We start from the raw sequence: 10,586 nt of genomic DNA, 5'->3' as shown, positions 1-10,586 counted from the left end.
CCTCTTCCTCCAGTTGCTTCATCATATTACCTTCTTAGCCCCATTGAGGGCAGCTAAGTGACCAATCCTTGCACTCTGGGCCAGAGAAAACAGGTGGACCAATGTCTGCCACAGAGGCAGTGTGAGTTCCAGATCTCAGGCCAGCTGGGTTGGCAGCTAGTGTCCTAGTGAGAAGAACCAGTGGTATAATTACCAATGGGTTTGCCAGTCAGTGCACCAGAGTAACACCTGTTGTCTGAATGCACCTGGCAGTGCACAGGTAAGACTTTCCTTTCTGAATCAGTAATTTGCTCATATGATACAGGTGAAGCCAACAGGTAGAGATAGGCTTATCCTCAGGTCCCTGTAGTTGCCTGGTCCATACCTCTCATAGTCTCACCATAACATGATCACCTCAAACATGAACACCACAGTAACATGATCACCTCAAACCTGTTTCCTTGTGGGTTGAACATTACATTTTGTTGCAAAAACTACAATTTGCCTACTCTACTATCCATTAACCCTTGTGCCTTAGTGATAGCATCCCTAATTTTCAGCTATGCAAATGAATGCCCAAAAACCAATTTCCCATTTTCCCTTGCCATGTGGCTCAGTGCTGGCCAATTAGATGAAATCAGAAGTGCCAGGTGGCAAGTTCCAGGAAAATTCTTTACAGCTAGGTGCAGTGGTTCAATCCCAGCACTCTGGGAGGCTGAGGTGCAAGGATCACTTGAGGCCAGAAGTTCCAGACCAGCCTGGCAACAAAGCAAGACCACACACCTCCCTCGCCATGTCTACAAAAAAAAAAAAAAAAAAAAAAAGATTTTTTTTTTAATTAACCAGGACTGCAGTCCCAGCTACTTGGGAGGCTGAGGTAGGAGGATTTCTCAAGCCAAAGAGGTCGAGGTTGCAGTAAGCCATAATTACACCACTCACCACTGCACTCTAGCCTGAGTGTATTAGTCTGTTTTCATACTGCTATAAAGAACTGCCCAAGACTGGGTAATTCATAAAGAAAAGAGGTTTAGTTGACTCACAGTTCGGCATGGCTAGGGAGGCCTCAGGAAACGCACAATCATGGTGGAAGGCGAAGAGGAAACAAGGCACCTTCTTCACAAGGCAGCTAGAAGGAGAAGTGCTCAGTGAAGGGGGAAGAGCCCCTTATAAAACCATCAGATCTCGTGAGAACTCACTATTGTGATAACAGCATGGAAGAAACAACTGCCCCCATGATTCGATTACCTCCACCTGGTCTCTCCCTTGACATGTGGGGATTACAATGCAAGATGAGATTTGGGTGGGGACACAAAGCCTAACCATATCACTGCGTGACAGAGCAAGACCCTTTCTCAATAAAATAAAATAAAAATAAAAATAGCTAACATATGCCCTTTGCCACTTTCTTTCTTTCATTATTGTGGACTAGAATGTGGACATGATGGTTGGATCTTAGGCCTTCTTGGGGTAGAAGTCACACTCTAATGGAAGAATAGTTGAATAGAAGGAGCCTGGGAGCCCGGGTTTTTGAGGCCGTGAATGGTCACAGTAGCCCTGGACTATCCCCCCAAACTTCTTTTACGAGAGAGAAAACTACACTATCTTGTTTAAGCCAGTTTTGCTTACCTGTTTATTTTCATCATACACATTTGAACCTAATCCTAACAGATACATCTTCTAACTCAGAAAGAATTATTACAGCCACCAAACACCACTAGAGAAGACTATCTGGATGGTTGGAGGACCAAACATTTTTATTCTGGATAATTGGGGGGAAAACATCTCTGTTTTTGCCACTTCAGAACATGAGATAAAATTTCTCTTGGTTCCGCACCCCTTTTTTTTTCTATTTTATTTTTGAAAGGCTTGTATCTGCCTGGAGATAAACATTGTGATTTTGTTTTAATCCTTGTAATTGCCTCCACATGGAAGACTTCTCATAAGTTTGGATTTAAAGGCATTTCTAAATCTTTTCTCTCCGTGCTCTCCACTGATGGAATAGCATCCTGTAGAATGTCAACTTCTCTGCAGCTTCATCATCTCAGCAATCTACAACCAATCACAGAGTGCACAATGTTCACACAGCCGAGAAGTCTGCTTGTCTCAGTCATTCGAAGGCTTTGCTCAGTTTATTTTGGCTGGTTTTCACAGCTGTCATCTGCTAAAGCCAGTCCACAACAACTAAGTTAGCACAGTTATCTCACCTGTGTTATTGGTCCATGTCTTACATCTCAAATCCCCAAGAAATCCACGCAAGCCCATAGGAAATGAAACTTATCACATTTATGCTTCTCTATCTCCTTATGTTCAAAGTTTATAGGGATGGTGTGTTAGTCTGTTCTCACACTGCTATAAAGAGCTGCCAGAGACTGGGTAGTTTATAAAGAAAAGAGGTTTAATTGACTCACAGTTCCACATGGCTGGGGAGGCCTCAGGAAAGTTACAATCAGGGCAGAAGGGGAAGCAGACACATCTTACATGGTGGCAGGCGAGAGAGAAAGTGTGAGCCTGTGAGGGAGGAACTGTCAAAAACTTATAAAACCATCAGATCTTGAGAGAACTCATTCACTATCATGAGAACAGCATGGGGGAAACCACAATTACCTCGCACCAGGTCCCTCCCTTGACAAGTGGGGATTATAATTCAAGATGAGATTTGGATGGGGCCAGAGCCAAACCATATCAGACGGTGTCTTGGGAAGCCTGTTTGCTTCATGTCTCAAAAACAGGTCTACACTTTGGTCTCAGGATGAGTCACATTTGGAGCTGCAGGAGGAGGGGAGTGGTGACTACCAGTGTTTTTCAAGCTCCCCAATGACAAGAACCACCTATTACACCCCAAATTCCCTGAATCAGACTCTCCTGCAGAGGAACCTGGGAAGCTGTGCCTGCCACAATGGTCAGAGCAGTTAGGGCATTGCTAGACCTCTGTGAGCAAAGCTAAAACAGCTTAGGCAAGGAAGCTTGGGAGAGTGGCTTTGGGGTTAAACAGATCTGACTACCTGTTGACTCAGGTGAGTAATTTAATGAATTTAATGTCTTAGAGCCTCAATTTCTTCCTCTCTAAAATGGGGATAACAAATCCAAACTTTCAGGCTGGATGAAGTCTGGAAATAATAGCTGTGTAAAATACCTGGTGCATACCTTCCATGAGCTCAGCCAATGGTAGCTATCAGTACTGTAATCATGACAATGATGTTTATTAGGCCAAAGGGGTCTTAATTTGTATTCAGGAATGAAGAGACTTGGATTTCACACAAGATATTGCATTTCCTTTAACTTCAACACTGTTGGGAGCTGGCTTGGCAAAAAAAGAGCCCTGAGGTGGCAGAGGCCTTTCCTATCTCACAGAGTCAGGGTGGAGGGCACGGAAGTTTCACGACAGCCAAGTCCAAGACGCCAGACTTTTTAGCCACATTAGTATCTAAGGTATTTGTTCACTTTCATCTGTGAAGTGCTTTTCAAGCATTAGGCTGGTAATTTCTCTGTGGGGGATAACTTGGGGTACGGCCTTGCTCAGGCAGAAATCCTATATTTATTTTGGGTCTCTGGGATCTTAAACCTGGTCCACAAATTGAGAAGGAAGTTGTTTGTCCTAAATCATCTTAAATGCTCTGTCTGGGCTTTTCTGATACCAGGACACTAGTGCTTCTACAGACCTGGCCCCGAACCCTTCTTGACCATGACCTCCTCCTCTCCAGGTTCACAATGAGGCCCTGAGTTGGAAATCCAGGCTTAGTAGGTTAAAGAACTCCCAGGGAGCTGGGCAGGTCTGATTTCTCATTCCTCCTTAGAATAACATGAAGATTCCAAATGGAGGTAAACATTATTCCCTCAGCCTCTCCCAGTTTTCTTGCTGGCACAGATCCAAACAATTGACAGTATGAGTGTTTAATAGCAAAGAGATGACCATGAGGACACCAGCTGAGTATAAAGCCCTCCATTGCATGCGCAAAGTACAACAAAGAACCAGGAGTAGGATGGGGAGGGGTGTGAGTAATATAAGTTGAGAATTTTCAAAATTCTAGACCCCGATGAACATTGTCTTTACAATCTTTACAACTGCCCTATGAAATGAGCATTATGCTGCCCATTTCACAGATGAGAAAACAGGGGTATAGCTCTCAATTAGGAACGTTGCTCAAGGTCACACAAGCAGTACATGGAGAAGCTAGCTTGCATATGTGTAACTATTTAATCCCAAACCCATGCCCTTGACTCTCTACCATGCTGCTTTTAACGGTAGAAAAGGGAAGAAGAGAGTTAAGAAATCCATAGACAAAAGTTAAAATAAAATTTGTAAAAAGCATTTCTGTACTTGGTTTAGATTTTATCTGATTTCTCTTGAAATAAACAGTGAGACCTCACCTCAGGTTTATAGGCCAAATATGAAGGACCTTTAAACCTTGAGCCAGCAGTACATATTGAGTTGTCCAACTTGTAGAACAAGGCTAACCTATTCCTTCCTGTAAGGCCTCATTTGGCCTCTAAAGCAGAAGTAGGCAAACTTTTCCTTAAAGGGCTGGAGAGTAAATATTTTAGGCTTTGTGGTCCATAAGTTCTCGTGGTAAATCGACTCAAAGGAATGAGCTGGCTATGTTGCAGAAAAACTTTATTTACATCAATGCCAGTAGTTTGCCAGCCCCTTCTCTAGAGGAATAAGATTATTTCCTACTTGTTTTCCAAGTTCTTCTCCAGAGCATCAAAATGTACATGTATTGATTGTGAATATATAATCATGTGAGCCAGATATTAGCTAAAGTACTGTGCCCTCTGAGATTAAAATGAAACCACATGTAGAGGCAAGCTGCATGCTTCTCAATCTCTCCAGGGGGAATGAAGTCACCCATTCTGCTAAAGTGGTTTAGTTTATGAATCATCTTGCCTTCCTCTATTTTCCATCCCTACCCCACACCACATCATGCCAGACATAGATTCTAGCCCCCTCTTCCTCAATGCATGCATACAAAACACACACGACACAGGCACACACACACAGTTGATCATACACAAAGTTGTGTGCAACAGACTTTCCCCGGAAGGAAATGGATGTTGGATTGACACTGAAACAATTCAAACTACTTAACTTTAAATATGTTATCCTCCTTCTCAAAATTCCTTTGGCCACTTTCTCCTTAAGTTCTAGTCTCCTGCCATATGGCTTGGCCTACTGTCTTCCAGCAACTTTTCCCACTCTGTTAGGCAGAGCAATCGAGCCCTTATCTCAACCCATCCCCACACCTCCCTTTGCACGGCTCTGCTCTGAGATGCACCATCTTCCTTTTCTCACCCTCCCACCAGCCTCTGCAAGAGGAATGGGACAGCCTAGAAATATGTTACCATCATCTTGAAACCACCCTCCCCTTTAAACTCAAAAGCTGCTTTATAGTTTTAGTTTTAAATAGCATTTCTTTCTCCATGACGTAAATTAAAAATCTATCTGTTGAGATATTTTTGGGTTTGAGCGGCACAAGTAAACTCTAACATAAACAGGAAGAGGGAGTTATCCAAAGTATTATATAAAAAGGAAAAGCTAACAAATGGTTTCAGAAATACAGAAACGATGGCGACAGCATGGACAGCAGTGGGAGTTTGTGGTCTCTGTTTCTCTGAGGTATTGCCGTTGTATGTGGCACCAATGGGCTTTAGCCCTGTGTGTCTCTGTTCCAGATTAGATTCCAGAGAAAGTGACATTCTCTGCTTAGGCTAAATGTCAATTGCTGTGGTCAGGACCCTGGAATACTGACATTGTCAGCCTCATCAGAACTACATGGATTTGTGCAGGCAGTTTCCCTAAATAAGGGATGCTGTGCCTCCTCAAAAAGAAAAAAACAACGTTAAAAACAAACAAAAACAAAAACAGACGTCCACTCTACTGTGTTTCCAACCAAAGGCTTCTCAGTGAAAACGGACAGGATTCCTGGTTAAAATGCTGTAAACATGTGTAGATCATGTTTAGAGGCAAATATAAGGAGATTAAAGTTTTACCATGTGATGCCTCTCACTTTCCTAGTACTGGCTAAGGCAGTAAATGTTTTCGAAGGTATAGATATAATTGGTATCTGGCCCCTTCCTCCCCCAAAGTCTTGCTCTTTAACTTAGAGACTCTCATTTATTTATAATTGCTCTGCAAACTGAAACTAGCCCAATTTTCCAGCCAGCCAGAAGGCCATAGAACTGAAGCTTGAGAAACTTACTTTTGTACAATGAAACGCACCTGCTGCCTGCTGACCACTTCCTCTTCCTTACCCCTCCCTAATTCCTGTTTTCCCACATGTGATTACAATGAGACACCAGAACCCTCATTTGACCACCTGCTGCCTGCTGACCAACTCCTCTTCCTTGCCCCTTCTGTTTTCCTTCCCAGCTAAATCAACCCATAATTTTAGATGGGAGAAGAGATAGACTTGAGGCTTGTCTCCATCTCTTCAGTTGACATCACCCGAATAAAGCCTCCCTGGCAATAATCATGGTCTCAGTGATTAACTTTCTATGCAGCAAGCAACAGGACCTAGACTAAACCCTGGGCATTCGATAACAACTGGATAAACATTCATTATCATGTACATTTCACAGATGCAGACACTGTGACTTCACTCTGCGATGTGTCACCAACACACCTTATTTGTGTTGGAGGTGGGCTGTGAAATCAGTGTTTACATCTTCAAGCACACACTCTTTGATGGGATTGCTAGAAGAGATCTATTCATTGTATAGGTCACCTGAATATCCCAGACCTCATCTGTCCTAATGCACATGGCCCTTAGCCCACCCACCTACACAGAAACAAGCCCTTTGAGAGCTCTCTTGGTTCTCTCTGGACCTCCCTGGGAGAGTGTCTCGCATGTAATCAGAAACAAGTCTGCCCATGTCCCCTCCTCCAGTTTCTTCATCAAACCTCCTGACCCCTCCACTGCTGGTGGCCTCCAGGAAGATATGAAGACACTCTCCCTCCAAAACTCAGGTCTCTTTCCCTGCTGAACCCAGAGTCCTCAGGGTACCAGAGGTACCATGGCCATAGCCAAGTGGGCTCGGGGAGCAGAGTAGAGGGACAGTCCCCTCTCCAGCTATGGGTGATACTATGTTTCTTAGCCTCAAATTGATGCAGATGGTTCCTAGACACTGACAAAGTCTGTCAGCAACACTTATCTTTCAGCTGCTGGCCCTAACCTCCTCCTGCTCACTACTTCCCAATTCAGAGTCCTTGCAGGGGTTGCCTGATTGCCCAGGCCTTGGTCACTTGCCACACTCAGGCTTCAGGAGGGCTGGGAGAGCTGTTGTCTGGACTTCTCTTGAGGTCACAAAAGTGATCTCAGCTCACACAGTGGAAGTCCCAAATATACAAAGAAGATTCAGGAGTTGGGTGGTCAAAAAAAAAGCAATGGCAAATGTCCACCAGGATGCCATGTGGCCCATCCCTTATCACTCTCCCCCCAGCTCTTTCGCTGGATCCTCTCTTCTCTTTTAGCAAAAAAAAGCAAACAAATAAATACTAAGCTTCTTTTTGCATATGAAGTTGTGCAATTCAGTACTTGAAGGGAGGTAGAATTCACCATACTAAACGGCTCAAAGTTCCAGTTTTAGTTATACCAGGAAATGCTGCCATTTTGAGGACACAGGGAACTCAGTGCTAATTCATTAATGATTGCAGCAAGAGGTATGGAAGCGGGCAGGGAATTAGGGGCAGAGGATGAGAAACTCAGAGTAAACACTTTCTGCAGTTGGGTACTTGTGAAAGAGAGAGTTCATGTTTTAAAGTCAATAGACTCAAGGTTCAAGTTTTGGTTTCACTACTATGTGATCTTATACAAGTTTTACTTGATATGTCTGAGCCTCTGTTTCTTCATTTGCAAAATAATAACAAAGAATATTCCTGAAAGTTTTAAGTAACATAATGCATGTAAAGTGGCTGGAAAATTGCTGCTTAACAAATATTCCCCTTTCTCTTCCCTCTGGGAAAATAAGATAAATAAGATTCCTATTTGTACAATAAGGAATATTTCTGTATATTTCTGTATACTTTTACATATTTATAACTGCTTTATGAAAGTATTTTTGATATTGCTGTGAAAAAAATCTGTAATTGCTTTTAATAAGAATTTGATGGAAAAAATGTAATACAATTATTTTATTTTAAATGGAAATTATGGATTAAAAGTTATCAAAGAGTATTCTACAGTAGCAAATTAAGTAAATTGTAGTCTATGATTTCTGGGCTTATAGGAAAGAAGGTAAATTAGCTTTTGTAGGGTGCTGTACTAATGTGTGCATGCCATTGTGCTGGGCACTTTATAGTTAATCTTTACAACAAACTCATAAGAAAGTAATTTTACAGATGTAGAAACTGAGGCTAAGAAATGTTAAGTCATTTCCCCAACATCACATAGTAGAAGTTCATCTACATATGAGGCCCATACAAAAGCTAATTCCATAGCTCACTTGGATCATGATACCAAGCAAAAACATGGTAGGTATGTCCCATGGTCAGGTAGGCACTGAGCAGCAGAACAGTGGGAACTGACAGGTTGCCTGATCACAGCTCCATAGTCTCTGCCAGTAAGGACACAATGAGCCCACGTAGATGGAGTTAGATACTTCACAGCAATGGTAGAAGCTTCCTGTTTGTATCAGTTCTCTTTACGCCCCAGATCTCACAAGGGTGATGCAAAGGTTGGCACAGGTGAATACCATGCACGGAGTGCAGGGGCGCCTCACAGCTGGGGAATCCTAAGCTTAGGAACCCCCCTACGTTACAATGGGGCTTCTGGAAAACTGCCCATCCTCCCCTCCAGGGAGAGATGTTATCTTACTACCCTGCAATGTAAACAAATCTTTCTCAAGAAGAGGAGAGAGGTCTTTATCCTTATTATCCTAGACCATCTCCAGGGAGGGGGACATTCTCACTATCTTTACCATTCTGGAAAGTAAATAAATCTGAGGAAAGTGGGTGTTGATGCCTAGATGTGAAGAAATGTGAGAGATTCATAGAGACTTGCCTCCCATTCCAAAAAAGTAATAGGATATTAATAGACCACCCTTTTTTTCTGTTTTTCCTTCCTTTGTTAAACAAATATCTACTCTTTTATTCACTCAAAGTCAATTCACATATGATTAAGTGACCCCTATGTGTGTAGGTAGACGTGCTGGTTGCTGTGCATAAAGCCGTAAGTTAGGCAAATGCAGTCCTTACCTTGGTGGAGCTAACATTGTGATTTTAGCTCAAGATAGTCTGCAGCTGTCTTTCTCAGCGGCCTGCAATGGGGCTGACTCCAGACAATCCAGTTGTTTCTGTGCATCCTCTAAAAGCCGGAATGGAGAATTTAACAATTCACAACATCTCCTCAGGGAGTCGCTTAACTATTAAAGGAGCCTATACTTAGGCTGTGAACCCAAAAGTATCTGAGACAGGTCTCAATCAATTTAGAAAGTTTATTTTGCCAAGGTTAAGGACACACCCATGACACAGCCTCAGGAGGTCCTGACGATGTGTACCCAAGGTGGTTGGGGCACAGATTGCTTTTATACATTTTAGGGAGACATAATACGTCAACCAATACATGAAAGATTTACATTGGTTTGATCTGGAAGGGCGACGCAACTCGAGGAGGGGAACTTCCAGATCGTTGGTAGATTTAAACATTTTCTGATTGGCAATTGGTTGAAACAGTTATTAGCAGTAGAAAGTTATCATCAGTAGAAAGGAACGTCTGGAGTTGTGGAGACCAAGGTTTTATCATGCAGATAAAGCCTGCAAGTAGCAGGCTTCAGAGACAATAGATTGTAAATGTTTCTTAACAGACTTAAGGTCTGTATTGATGTTAATGCTTCATAGGAATGATGAGCCATGTCCAATCCCCTCTTCATCCAGCCTGAACTACTTTTTCAGATTAATTCTGGAATGCCCTTGGCCCAGAGGAAGGGTCTATTCAGATGGTAATATGGTTTGACTCTGAGCCCCATCCAAATCTCAAATGGAATTGTAATCCCCAGTGTTGGGAGTGGGGCCTGGTGGGAGGTGATTGGATCATGTGGGTGGTTTCTAATGGCTTAGCACCATCCCCCTAGTGCTGTTTTGTGATAGAGTTCTCATGAAATCTGGTTGTTTAAAAGTTTGTGGCACCTCCCCCACCCTCTCTCTCCTGCTCCTGCCATGTAAGACATGCTTGCTTCCCCTTCATCTTCCACTATGATTGTAAGTTTCTTGAGGCCACCCCAGAAGCAGAGGCCTGTACATCTATCTCTCAGAACCGTGAGCCAATTAAACTTCTTTTCTTTAGAAATTACCCAGTCTCAGGTAGTTCTTTATAGTAGCTCAAGAATGGACTAATGCAGATGGTTAGGAGGCCTTCCAATTTTATTGTTGATTACAAGTCTCATCAATAAGTCATGGTATTGAAAGTTAAATCCTCAGGAGGCTCCACCACACATTCATGAAGTCCAATGAGTGAGTTGATGGTGTTATTGTTAATGCTGAGGATATCCAGGTGCAGAAAGGACTGAAAAGACAAGGAGATGGACAATGGTTTTCTCCTTAGAGTATAAATCATCTTAGAAACAAATATTCTTCCATTTCCAAGATAATAACTATCTTTGTTTCTTTGTTAGAT

The 10,586-nt window shown here is 42.7% G+C and overlaps 1 annotated feature.

Annotated features, from left to right (window-relative positions):
* Positions 6,258-6,467: an enhancer, noted in NCBI's record as "active region_2618". NCBI's record gives its function as "activates an Ori minimal core promoter by ATAC-STARR-seq in GM12878 lymphoblastoid cells {active_cell/tissue: GM12878}" and the evidence as "EXISTENCE:reporter gene assay evidence [ECO:0000049][PMID:35858748]".

The sequence above is a fragment of the Homo sapiens genome, chromosome 1 (assembly GCF_000001405.40).
Source record: "Homo sapiens chromosome 1, GRCh38.p14 Primary Assembly".
In the NCBI taxonomy this organism is placed as follows: Eukaryota; Metazoa; Chordata; class Mammalia; order Primates; family Hominidae; genus Homo; species Homo sapiens.
Note: the sequence above shows the minus strand (reverse complement) of the source record. Positions and strands in the feature narration are given on the sequence as shown.